General features: G+C 38.4%; 1 long non-coding RNA gene across 5 annotated transcripts in view, besides 1 other annotated feature; it reads right to left on the minus strand.

The window, feature by feature from the left end:
• Nucleotides 1–14190, minus strand: part of LOC105377885 (uncharacterized) — a 143181-nt gene that overhangs the window by 43029 nt on the left and 85962 nt on the right. The window lies entirely within an intron of this gene.
• Nucleotides 7640–8839: an enhancer, noted in NCBI's record as "MED14-independent group 3 enhancer chr6:89060126-89061325 (GRCh37/hg19 assembly coordinates)". NCBI's record gives its function as "activates an origin of replication core promoter dependent on BRD2, BRD4, P300/CBP and CDK7 cofactors, and independent of MED14, by STARR-seq in HCT116 cells {active_cell/tissue: HCT116}" and the evidence as "EXISTENCE:reporter gene assay evidence [ECO:0000049][PMID:35650434]".

A 14190-nucleotide genomic window follows, 5' to 3' on the forward strand; every position in this document is an offset into this window, starting at 1 on the left:
CTTAGAACAATACCTGGCATTCAGTAACTGCTCAATAAATGTTAGCTGTAATGATCAGGTTTTTATAATGTACCAGACACTGCATTAGGTGCTGGAAATTCAATGACGAGTTTGATATTAATCCTTTTCTCGGGCAATTCACAGTTCAATGAAGGGAGGCATACTTGTAAACTGATGACACATAGATAAGACAGTAGATGGTAGTGTAGGATGCCCAAAGGAGGGAGTAGCCAAGTGAATTTGGGGGTCAAGAAAAGTTTCATGCAGGAGGTGAAAATCTGAGTCTTCATGGATAAGGAACTTTATCTTGTCAGCAATGAAAAACCATTGATGCGCTTTCAACAAAAGGGCATTATAAACAGATGTATGCTTTAGAAAACTCATGGGTGAAAGTATGAAAGATAGATGGAGCGGACAGGGAAAAGATATGAGTGGGGGCAGGGAGAGTAGTCAGGCTATGCTTGAAACAGACCAGGCAAGAAATGAAAATGGCTTGAACTGTGAGCAGTAATGAATGGGCATAGAGGGAACCACAGATTCAACAGCTTTCAAGAGAGTCGGATGGAGAAGACATTGGGATCATTGGGTAGGGTAGAAGTGAAAACGAAGGTTGGATACCATTATTCCTGACTTAAGTGCTTTTGAAGTGTGTTCAGCAATGTGGGGAGTGAAGGAGGAGGAGGAGCAAATGTGGAAAGATAGATAATGAATTCTGCTTTGAATATAGTAAATTGAAGATGCTGATAGAACATCCTGGTAAAAATATGCAGTAGGTTTTTAAATGTAAAGGAATGGTGAGGCTAGAAATAGAGATTTGGAGGTCATCAGCATAGCAATGGACATGGAAACCACCAACAGTGAGTCCTCAGAGAGACTTTGTAAGCAGAGAAGAGTGCTAAGGACCAAAAGTGATGGCATATATAAGTGATGACAGAGAAAGACAAGCCTGAAAACGAGGCTGAGAAACAGTAACTAAGGAGATAGAAGTTGAACTAAGACAGAGTGGTGTCACCAAAAGCCAAAGAGAGTCTAGAATCTCAAGAAAGTTGTCAGTATAAAATATCATTAAAAGCACAACAGGAAGCCTGAAAGAAGCCTATTGGATTTGAAGACTAAGGGTTTGTTGTTGTTTCAGTCTTTGCTAGGACAGTTTCAGTGGGAGCCAAACTGCATATGTAGGTTTCCTGGCATATGCAGTTATCTGTGTGTGCTTATGTATGCATGTGTGTGTTCTTGTGTGTTTGTGTGTGTGTGCACATGCATATACAGTATCTATATTTCCTCTTAAGTTTACTACCTTCATAAGACTGCCTAAATATTTTATATTGCATGTTTCTCTCCCACTCACATTTCTAGGTCTCTCATGTATCTGTGCCTGAATTGATAGTCTGAGCATTCATAGGTTGAGTTCCAAACTATATGCAGCTTAATTGGCAGTGTTTTTCAATGCTTCCACTGTAATAAACATGGACAAGTAAAAGCACTTCCCCCCGAGGCCTTCTCCTAAAGACTTCCTAATGACTTTCAGCAAACAGAAAAGAGCCACTCTTTATGATTTCTGTCACATCCACTCACAAAATACCCTGACAAATCCCTGTCTTGATAGGAAGATATGCCAGATCTGCAAGTAAGTGTTCCTCAAGTCAGTTCAGTATGAAGCAATGTCCTCCAACTTCTACCACAAGTGAGCTGTTTCAAAACAGTCTTAAGAAACTCTAAAGAGATAGTTGTTATGTAGTTTTCCCCATGGCAAGAGCAGACCCTCAGCACTGCAGGTCTTTATGCTCCAATTTAATCCATTCAAACTCAAACATATGAGCAAAAAATCTATATGTGAATGTTTAACTTTTAATTTGGAAATAATTATAGATTCACTGGAAGTTGCAAAGATCATACAGAAAGTTTCTATATACCATTCACCGAATTTCCCCTAATGGCTACACCTTATGTAACTATAGTACAACGTCAAAACCAAGAAGTTGATATCAGTAAAATGTGTGTGAATAGCTCATGTGATTACCCTGGAACCCCCATGGCAATCAAGGCACAAAACTATTCCATCACCATGAAAATCTCCTCATGTGATCTTTTGTCATTTCAAAAATGTTATAGAAATGGAATCATACAGTATGTGATCTTTTGAGAATGACTTTTTTCACTCAGACAATGGCTTGAGATCCATCCAAGTTGTTGCAAGTCTCACTAATTTGTTCTTGTTTATTGCTGAGTATGGATGTACCAGTTTATATAATCATTTACCCACTGAAGGATATTTGGGTTGTTTTCAGTTTTTTAGCTATTACAGATAAAGCTACAATGAACATTCATACACAGAATTTTGTGTGGACTTAAGTTTTTATTTCTCTAAGATAAATTCCCAGGAGTGTGATTGCTGGGTTGTATGGTAAGTGTATATTTAGGTTTTTTGTTTTTTTAAAGAAACTAGTGAACTACTTTTCAGAATGACTAAATACTATGTTACTTTCTAACAGTAGTATATGAGAGATTCGGTTTTTAACATCCTCAAAAGCATTCAATATTGTCACTAGTTTTTATTTTAGCTTTTCAAATAGGTGTGTAGTGACAATTCATTGAACTTTTAATTTGCATTGCTCTGATGTAGTGATGTTAAACATCTTTTATTTGTTTATTTGCCATCTGTGAAATGTCTCTATGTATTTTGTTCATTTTCTCATTGAATTGCTAGAGTTGTGTGTGTGTGTGTGTGTGTGTGTGTGTGTTTTTGTTGAGTTTTGAGTTCTTTATATATTATATACATCAATATAGGATATCTATATGTCCTCTGTCAGGTATGTGATTTGCAAGTATTTTCTCCAAATATGTAATTTTGTCTCTTCATCCTAATAACAGAATCTTTCACAGAGCATAATTTTCAATTTTGATAAAGTCTAATGTACCAATTCTTTATTTTATGTTTTGTTCTTTTGGTGTCATATCATATTTGGATTTTAAGATTGAAAATTCATTTGAATTTCTGGAGGACAATTAAATAATCAGTATTGATTCAAAAACTTATCATACCTGAAATGACAGATGTCTGGGATTTGCTTCAAAACAACCCAGTTTGGAGAGTGTATTAGGTCTTGCATTGCTATACAGAAATACCTGAGGCTGGGTAATTCAAGAAGAAAAGAGGGTGTATTGGCTCATGGTTCTGCAGGCTCTACAGGAAGCGTAGGGACATCTGCTTCTGGGGAGGCCTCAGGAAGCTTCTAATCATGGCAGAGGGCAAAGGGGGAGCGAGCACTTCACATGGTGAAAGCAGGAGCAAGAGGGGGGCAGGTGCCACAGGGGGCAGATGCCACATACTTTTAAACAGCCAGATCTCATGAGAAGTCACTCACTATTGCAAGGACAGCATCAAGGGGATGGTGCTAAACCATTCATGAGAAATCCACCCCCATGATCCAATCACCTCCCACCAGGCCCCACCTCCAATACTGGGGATTACAATTCAACCTGAGATTTGGGTAGAGACACATATCCAGACCATATCAGAGGGTAAAGTGAGGAAGAAGTAGGTGGAGACAGATATGAACAAGAATGGCCATCAATTGATCATTGTTGGGGCTGGGAGGATAGATACATTCAGCGCATTATATTATTCTTTCCACTTTTGCATACATCTGAAATTTTCATAATAAAACGTTAAAAAAATAAAACCAGCACATATCCTTTGACTGAATAATTCAGTTTGGGAAACTTTACCCTAAGGAAAATATTGAAATATTGGAAGAAGAAGGCTATTTGTAGAGAGAGATGTTTATAGCAACATTATTTGTGAAAGTGGGAGGACAAATCAAAAACAATACAAATAGCTAACGATTAGGGAATGGTTATATATCTATGGTATATCATCTCCAGAGACCATTATGGAGCCATTAAAGTGATAAATGTGAAGGCTGAAGATATAAAAAAAGTTTTTTTTTAACAAAATAATGTTAGAAAAAACAAAACACAATCCTTCAACTGTAATTTAGCCAGCTATGGTACTAGAATAGTGTGATTTTATATTTCTGCAACAAAATTTTAGTTCATTGCCCTTAAACAGTTTAATGATCATTTTTGTTGTCATAAATGAAATAATATGGCACCAAGAATCATACCCTCCTAGAAAACACTGGCAGATCTAGGCAGTACGACAGGCAAAGGAGTCTCTTGTTCCACCACCTCAGTATGAGGATAGATGGTAGCACCTCACCCCACCCCAATATACACCCATAAGTGTATTGACGATGTGTTAAAATTCCTGACAGTTACATACAGTATTTTACCAAGACTTATAAAAATTAAACAAAGGGGGATGTAAGTGCAAAAGACATTAAATGTTAAGCCAATTAATGGCTAATTTAGAAAAAGTTACTAAAGAGATATATGAGGGGACTTTTAAAAGTTTGTGGAAATTGAATTCAAAGATAGAAATTAAAAACAAATACTTTATTTTTCAACATAAGCACCATCGAGTTCAAGACAATTTTGTAAGTGATGATACCAGCCATTTAGTTCATCCCTAAAGAACTGAGCATCCTGGGAATTTAACCATGTCAATGTAGTTTTGTTTTGTTTTTGTTTTTGCCTTATTACCTGAAGGGTGTCCTTTACAGATTTTTTAAGATTAGGAAACAAAAAGAAGTCAGCGGGGGCCAAATTAGGAGGCCAAATCAAGGTGAATACCTAATGATTTCTCACTGAAACTCTAGAAAATCACCTTTATTTGATGAGAAGAATGAGCAGGGGCATTATCATGGTGAAGGACTCTGTAGTGGTGCTTTCTCAGGTGTTTTTCTGCTAAAGATTTGGCTTTCTCAAAACAGTCTCATAATAAGCACATATTATTGTTCTTTGGCCCTCCAGAAAGTCAGCAAACAAAATGCCTTGAGCATCCCAAAACAACTGTTGCCATGGCCTTTGCTCTTGACTGGTCCTTATTTTCCTTGACTGGACCACTCCCACCTCTCAGTAGCCATTGCTTTGATTGTGTTTTATTTTCAGGGTCATACTGGTAAAGCCATGTTTCATCTCCTGTTACAATTCTTCCAAGAAATGCTTTAAGATATTGATTCCACCTGTCTAAAATTTCCATTGAAAGCTCTATTCTTGTCTGCAGCTGCTCTGCTCATAATGGATAACAAACAGTTTTGGCACCCATTGAATGAAAGTTTGCTGGACTTTAATTTTTTAGTCAGAATTGTGTAAGCTGAACCTATTGAGATGTCTATGGTGTTGGCTATTGTTTGTGCTGTTGATTGTTGCTCCTCTTCAATTAGGGCATAAATAAGATGAATTTACTCTCGCAAATGGATGTGGATGGTCTGCTGCTATGGGCTTCATCTTCAATATAATCGAATCCCTTCTTAAAACAAGTTATCCATTTGTAAACTGCTGATTTCTTTGGGGAATTGTCTCCATAAACTTTTTTGTAAGGCAGCAATGATTTCACCATTCTTCCACCCGAGCATCACCATAAATTTGATGTTTGTTCTGGCTTCAGTTTTAGCAGAATTCATGTTACTCATGTTACTCTGATAGGGGCTCTTTTCAAACTGATGTCTTATCCTTCTTAGTGCCTCAAACTAGATATCAAACTAACATGTCCTGTTCAGATATGTTATAACAAATTAGTACAAGCTTATTTTGGCACAAAATTCTTTGAAATCTGTACATAATTTTTTCATAATATGCATTTTTCATGAATTTTTGGAGACCCTCATATTTCACTTGATTTATAACTTGAAGGAAAATCAGCTTTAGTGTATGCAATGTTCACACATGCTTCCTAGATAAATGTGGTATATGAAAAGAAGGGTCAGATCATGGCTTCTTAAAGGCAACAGGTCTAGTTTGTGTTGGAAATTGAGATGGTTTTAAAATTTATCCACAAATTCTTTGATATCCCTATCATCAAAAGATGGAGACTAATTCCCTCAAGTATGGGCTGGACTTAGTTACTCACCTTAACGCATAGATGGGGTGGAAGTGAAGGTGTGTGACCTCCAAGATTAGGACATAAAGGCGTGTGGCTTGCTGCTCACCCTCCCTCAGATCATTTGTCATAGGCAACACAAATACCATGTCATGAGAACACTCAAGCAGTCCTTAGAAGAAGCTCATGTGAGAAAGAGCTGAGGCCTTCTGCCAACAGCCACGTGATTGAGCTTGAAAGAAACTCCTCCAGCCCCAAAAGTCTTCAGATATCTGCAGCCTCTGATGATATCTTGATTACAACCCGAGGAAAGACCCTGAGCTGGAATCACCCAGCTAAGCTGCTCCTGAATTCATGACCCACAGAAACTGTGAGATAATAAATGTCTGTTGTTTCAAAGCATTAAATTTTGGAGTAATTTGTTACACAGCAATAGATAATAAATTTCTAGAACACTTCTAGAAATTTTATTTAATGTGATTTTTAAGAATATATGTTTAGTGACATTTTATTAATATCTCCTAATCCCTGATAGTCTCCTAACAGACTGTGATTTTGCCAGTAGAAGTCTTATCAACTAGAAACTTTTTCGGAAACATAATTCTACAAAGGCAAAAAGACATCTAAATCTAAAACCTATACACCCATATAATGTGGACTAGAAAGTATTTGTGATATAAATAATGTTAAGGTGAAAATGATTTGTGAATACTTTTAAGATGTTTAAACATTAACAATGTAAAATATCTTTTATGTTAATATTAGTTCCAAAAGTTTGTCTAAAATGTTTCATTGTTTGAAATTTGTTTTATTTCCAGTTTTACCTTTAATATTTATGCTAAAAAGAAAGAAAGGCAAAAGAAAGATGAACAGATTCTAGAGCTTGAGAAACATAGGACCCTTTATTTGTGGAAATATTTCTCTTGTGACACACATGTTTGGATTGTTAGGAAAACACCCTTTCTTTCTTGGCAGACAAAAGTATTATTGTCTAAACGTGTACCAGTGTTACTTTTTTTTTTTAAGAAAATAACATAATATGTCATATTCTAGACATGCTTTAAGAATTCTTTTCAATGCTTTCTGTGACTGTTTCTTTGGTCAAGTTTAGATTCTTTCCCTTCATCAAAGGTTTCAACTAATAGTTACCACCAGAGAAGTGTTTGGAATCTTGAAAGAAAGGCTACAGATCTCAAAGATCTCAAAGTCTTTGATTTTTTTATACTCATGTATGAACTAGGAGACATATTCTGTAATGACATTATAGTATACTCCATAAGAGAGGGTTTATATTTCATCTTAGGAAGCAATCCAGTGAGAAACAGATTCGCTTCCAAATACCACCACAGAACTAATGTAATGAAAATCTTTCTACTGAGTATGGGGATATCCATCCATATCAGGCTGAGGGAGAGGAAGACGGGTTTGGAATAATGATCATGCACCATGAAAGGCAGACTTTAGTTAAGTAAGGCAAAAAAAGCTTTCCTGATGCTGAACAGCCATGAAAATGATACATTCTAATGATAAAACCCAAGCCTGATTAATGCCTGTGGAAACTTGACTCAATAGAATTGAAATATGATGGACCAAAAAGGGGATAGTACCAGAAAATATTTAAGGTATAAATGTAAGGTGAAAATATCCCTCAGGTACTATACCAAAGTAACTTGGGGAAGCAAGAACATTTGCTTTTGATTCCTGGACTTCGAAGAATACAAAGGTAAGAAAGCCATATGTTAATTTGATAGTATGGTAGGAAATCTCCATGTTGAGTGGCTTTGAGTAATGAAAGAAATTGTGCAGAACTCATGTCTGTGCCCATGAGATGTTTAACATATTCCTAAGTGGCTTCCATGTCATAGTAATCATACTAATTAAACTTAAAATAGGTGACCTGTCATTTAAGGCATAGGATTAAGCCTTACAATGTGTAATAATTAGAAGCCAATGCACAGACTTTCAATAAAAATAATGGAAGCCTTATTGGAAAAATAGACATCAAAATATCAATGTACAATGTGGGATTTCTCAAAGAAAAAAATATAGGATTAATAGTGGAAAAAAAGGTACCATGATTTATTGTTTTTAAGAAAAAATCAGGGAGGATGAGCCAAGATGGCCGAATAGGAAGAGCTCCAGTCTACAGCTTCCGGCGTGAGCGACGCAGAAGATGGGTGATTTCTGCATTTCCATCTGAGGTACCGGGTTCATCTCACTAGGGAGTGCCAGACAGTGGGCGCAGGACCGTGGGTGCAGCGCACCGTGCGTCAGCCAAAGCAGGGCGAGGCATTGCCTCACTCGGGAAGCACAAGGGGTCAGGGAGTTCCCTTTCCTGGTCAAGGAAAGGGGTGACAGACGGCGCCTGGAAAATCTGGTCACTCCCACCCCAAAACTGGGCTTTTCCAACAGGCTTAGGAAACAGCGCACGAGGAGATTATATCCCGCATCTGGCTCAGAGGGTCCTACGCCCACTGAGTCTCGCTGATTGTTAGCACGGCAGTCTGAGATCAAACTGCAAGGTGGCAGGGAGGCTGGGGGAGGGATGCCCGCCATTGCCCAGGCTTGCTTAGGTAAACAAAGCAGCCAGGAAGCTCGAACCGGGTGGAGCCCACCACAGCTCAAGGAGGCCTGCCTGCCTCTGTAGGCTCCATCTCTGGGGGCAGGGCAGAGACTAACAAAAAGACAGCAGTAACCTCTGCAGACTTAAATGTCCCTGTCTGACAGCTTTGAAGAGAGCAGTGGTTCTCCCAGCACGCAGCTGGAGATCTGAGAATGGGCAGACTGCCTCCTCAAGTGGGTCCCTGACCCCTGAACCCCGAGCAGCCTAACTGGGAGGCACCACCCAGTAGGGGCAGACTGACACCTCACACGGCCGGGTACTCCTCCGAGACAAAACTTCCAGAGGAATGATCAGACAGCAGCATTCCCAGTTCATGAAAATCCGCTGTTCTGCAGACACCGCTGCTGATACCCAGGCAAACAGGGTCTGGAGTGGACCTCTAGCAAACTCCAACAGACCTGCAGCTGAGGGTCCTGTCTGTTAGAAGGAAAACTAACAAACAGAAAGGACATCCACAACAAAAACCCATTTGTACATCACCATCATCACAGACCAAAAGTAGATAAAACCACAAAGATGGGGAAAAAACAGAGCAGAAAAACTGGAAACTCTAAAAAGCAGAGCGCCTCTCCTCCTCCAAAGGAACGCAGTTCCTCACCAGCAACGGAACAAAGCTGGACGGAGAATGACTTTGATGAGTTGAGAGAAGAAGGCTTCAGACGATCAAACTACTCTGAGCTACAGGAGGACATTCAAACCAAAGGCAAAGAACTTGAAAACTTGGAAACAAATTTAGATGAATGTATAACTAGAATAACCAATACAGAGAAGTGCTTAAAGGAGCTGATGGAGCTGAAAGCCAAGGCTCGAGAACTACATGAAGAATGCAGAAGCCTCAGGAGCTGATGCGATCAACTGGAAGAAAGGGTATCAGTGATGGGAGATGAAATGAATGAAATGAAGTGAGAAGGGAAATTTAGAGAAAAAAAGAATAAAAAGAAACGAGCAAAGCCTCCAAAAAATATGGGATTATGTGAAAAGACCAAATCTACGTCTGATTGGTGTACCTGAAAGTGACGGGGAGAATGGAACCAAGTTGAAAAACACTCTGCAGGATATTATCCAGGAGAACTTCCCCAATCTGGCAAAGCAGGCCAACATTCAGATTCAGGAAATACAGAGAACACCACAAAGATACTCCTCGAGAAGAGCAACTCCAAGACACATAATTGTCAGATTCACCAAAGTTGAAATGAAGGAAAAAATGTTAAGGGCAGCCAGAGAGAAAGCTCGGGTTACCCACAAAGGGAAGCCCATCAGACTAACAGCGGATGTCTCGGCAGAAACTCTGCAAGCCAGAAGGGAGTGGGGGCCAATATTCAACATTCCTTTTTTTAGTTTTTTAAAAGAGCAATAGTTTATTTATGAAAGTAATCTTTCCCTATTATATTGAAAGACTTTTAATGGTTTTTTTTGTATTTCTATAACATCTTTATACTACTACTAAAGTATAGAATTTAAATAAAATATGTGATGTAGTTATAGATTAGTCTTTTTTTATTATTATTATACTTTAAGTTTCAGGGTACATGTGCACAATGTGCAGGTTAGTTACATATGTATACATGTGACGCTGGTGCGCTGCACCCAGTAACTCGTCATCTACCATTAGGTATATCTCCCAATGTTATCCCTCCCCCCTTCCCCCACCCCACAACAGACCCCAGAGTGTGATGTTCCCCTTCCTGTGTCCATGTGTTCTCATTGTTCAATTCCCAGCTATGAGTGAGAACATGCAGTGTTTGCTTTTTTGTTCTTACGATAGTTTACTGAGAATGATGATTTCCAATTTCATCCATGTCCCTACAAAGGACATGAACTCATCATTTTTTATGGCTGCATAGTATTCCATGGTGTATATGTGCCACATTTTCTTAATCCAGTCTATCATTGTTGGACATTTGGGTTGGTTCCAAGTCTTTGCTATTGTGAATAGTGCCGCAATAAACATACGTATGCATGTGTCTTTATAGCAGCATGATTTATAGTCCTTTGGGTATATACCCAGTAATGGGATGGCTGGGTCAAATGGTATTTCTAGTTCTAGATCCCTGAGGAATCGCCACACTGACTTCCACAATGGTTGAAGTAGTTTACAGTCCCACCAACAGTGTAAAAGTGTTCCTATTTCTCCACATCCTCTCCAGCACCTGTTGTTTCCTGACTTTTTAATGATTGCCATTCTAACTGGTGTGAGATGATATCTCATTGTGGTTTTGATTTGCATTTCTCTGATGGCCAGTGATGGTGAGCATTTTTTCATGTGTTTTTGGGCTGCATAAATGTCTTCTTTTGAGAAGAGTCTGTTCATGTCCTTCACCCACTTTTTAATGGGGTTATTTGTTTTTTTCTAGTAAATTTGTTTGAGTTCATCAGATCAATAGAACAGAACAGAGCCCTCAGAAATAACGCCGCATATCTACAACTATCTGATCTTTGACAAACCTGAGAAAAACAACCAATGGGGAAAGGATTCCCTATTTAATAAATGGTGCTGGGAAAACTGGCTGGCCATATGTAGAAAGCTGAAACTGGATCCCTTCCTTACACCTTATACAAAAATTAATTCAAGATGGATTAAAGACTTGAACATTAGACCTAAAACCATAAAAACCCTAGAAGAAAACCTAGGCACTACCATTCAGGACATAGGCATGGGCAAGGACTTCATGTCTAAAACACCAAAAGCAATGGCAACAAAAGCCAAAATTGACAAATGGGATCTAATTAAACTAAAGAGCTTCTGCACAGCAAAAGAAACTACCATCAGAGTGAACAGGCAAACCACAAAATGGGAGAAAATTTTCACAACCTACTCATCTGACAAAGGGCTAATATCCAGAATCTACAATGAACTCAAACAAATTTACAAGAAAAAATCAACATTCTTAAAGAAAAGAATTTTCAATCCAGAATTTCATATCCAGCCAAACTAAGCTTCGTCAGTGAAGGAGAAATAAAATACTTTATGGACAATCAAATGCTGAGAGATTTTGTCACCACCAGGCCTGCCCTAAAAGAGTTCCTGAAGGAAGCACTAAACATGGAAAGGTACAACAGGTACCAGCCACTGCAAAATCATGCCAAAATATAAAAACCATCGAGACTAGGAAGAAACTGCATCAACTAATGAGCAAAATAACCAGCTAACATCATAATGACAGGATCAAATTCACACATAACAATACCAACTTTAAATGTAAATGGAATAAATGCTTCAATTAAAAGACACAGACTGGCAAATTGGATAGAGTCAAGACCCATCAGTGTGCTGTATTCAGGAAACCCATCTCATGTGCAGAGACACACATAGGCTCAAAATAAAAGGATGGAGGAAGATCCACCAAGCAAATGGAAAATAAAAAAGGCAGGGGTTGCAATCCTAGTCTCTGATAAAACAGACTTTAAACCAACAAAGATCAAAAGAGACAAAGAAGGCCATTACATAATGGTAAAGGGATCAATTCAACAAGAAGAGCTAACTATCCTAAATATATATGCACCCAATACACGAGCACCCAGATTCATAAAGCAAGTCCTGAGTGACCTACAAAGAGAATTAGACTACCACACATTAATAATGGGAGACTTTAACACCCCACTGTCAACATTAGACAGATCAACGAGACAGAAAGTCAACAAGGATACCCAGGAATTTAACTCAGCTCTGCACCAAGCAGACCTAATAGACATTTACAGAACTCTCCACCCCAAATCAATAGAATATACATTTTTTTCACCACCGCACCACACCACACCTATTCCAAAATTGACCACATACTTGGAAGCAAAGCTCTCCTCAGCAAATGTAAAAGAACAGAAATTATAACAAACTGTCTCTCAGACCATAGTGCAATCAAACTAGAACTCAGGATTAAGAAACTCACTCAAAACTGCTCAACTACATGGAAACTGAACAACCTGCTCCTGAATGACTACTGGGTACATAACGAAATGAAGGCACAAATAAAGATGTTCTTTGAAACCAATGAGAACAAAGACACAACATACCAGAATTTCTGGGACACATTCAAAGCAGTGTGTAGAGGGAAATTTATAGCACTAAATGCCCACAAGAGAAAGCAGGAAAGATCCAAAATTGACACCCTAACATCACAGTTAAAAACTAGAAAAGCAAGAGCAAACACATTCAAATGCTAGCAGAAGGCAAGAAATAACTAAAATCAGAGCAGACCTGAAGGAAATACAGACAAAAAAAACCCTTCAAAAATTAATGAATCTGGGAGCTGGTTTTTTGAAAGGATCAACAAAATTGATAGACCACTAGCAAGACTAATCAAGAAAAAAAGAGAGAAGAATCAAATAGATGCAATAAAAAATGATAAAGGGGATATCACCACCGATCCCACAGAAATACAAACTGCCATCAAAGAATACTACAAACACCTCTACGCAAATAAACTAAAAAATCTAGAAGAAATGGATAAATTCCTTGACACATACACCCTCCCAAGACTAAACCAGGAATAAGTTGACTCTCTGAATAGAACAATAACAGGCTCTGAAATTGTGGCAATAATCAATAGCTTACCAACCAAAAAGAGTCCAGGACCAGATGGATTCACAGCCGAATTCTACCAGAGGTACAAGGAGGAACTGGTACCATTCCTTCTGAAACTATTCCAATCAATAGAAAAAGAGGGAATCCTCCCTAACTCATTTTATGAGGCCAGCATCATCCTGATACCAAAGCCGGGCAGAGACACAACCAAAAAAGAGAATTTTAGACCAATATCCTTGATGAACATTGATGCAAAAATCCTCAATAAAATACTGGCAAACCAAATCCAACAGCACATCAAAACGCTTATCCACCATGATCAAGTGGGCTTCATCCCTGGGATGCAAGGCTGGTTCAATATGCACAAATCAATAAATGTAATCCAGCATATAAACAGAACCAAAGACAAAAACCACATGATTATCTCAATAGACGCAGAGAAGGCCTTTGACAAAATTCAACAACCCTTCATGCTAAAAACTCTCAATAAATTAGGTATTGATGGGACATATCTCAAAATAATAAGAGCTATCTATGACAAACCCACAGCCATTATCATACTGAATGGGCAAAAACTGGAAGCATTCCCTTTGAAAACTGGCACAAGACAAGGATGCCCTCTCTCACCACTCCTATTCAACATAGTGTTGGAAGTTCTGGCCAGGGCAATTAGCCAGGAGAAGGAAATAAAGGGTATTCAATTAGGAAAAGAGGAAGTCAAATTGTCCCTGTTTGCAGATGACATGATTGTATATCTAGAAAACCCCATTGTCTCAGCCCAAAATCTCCTTAAGCTGATAAGCAACTTCAGCAAAGTCTCAGGATACAAAATCAATGTACAAAAATCACAAGCATTCTTATACACCAATAACAGACAAACAGAGAGCCAAATCATGAGTGAACTCCCATTCACAATTGCTTCAAAGAGAATAAAATACTTAGGAATCCAACTTACAAGGGACATGAAGGACCTCTTCAAGGAGAACTACAAACCACTGCTCAATGAAATAAAAGAGGATACAAACAAATGGAAGAACACTCCATGCTCATGGGTAGGAAGAATCAATATGGTGAAAATGGCCATACTGCCCAAGGTAATTT

This window comes from Homo sapiens, chromosome 6, assembly GCF_000001405.40.
Source record: "Homo sapiens chromosome 6, GRCh38.p14 Primary Assembly".
Classification (NCBI taxonomy): domain Eukaryota; kingdom Metazoa; phylum Chordata; class Mammalia; order Primates; family Hominidae; genus Homo; species Homo sapiens.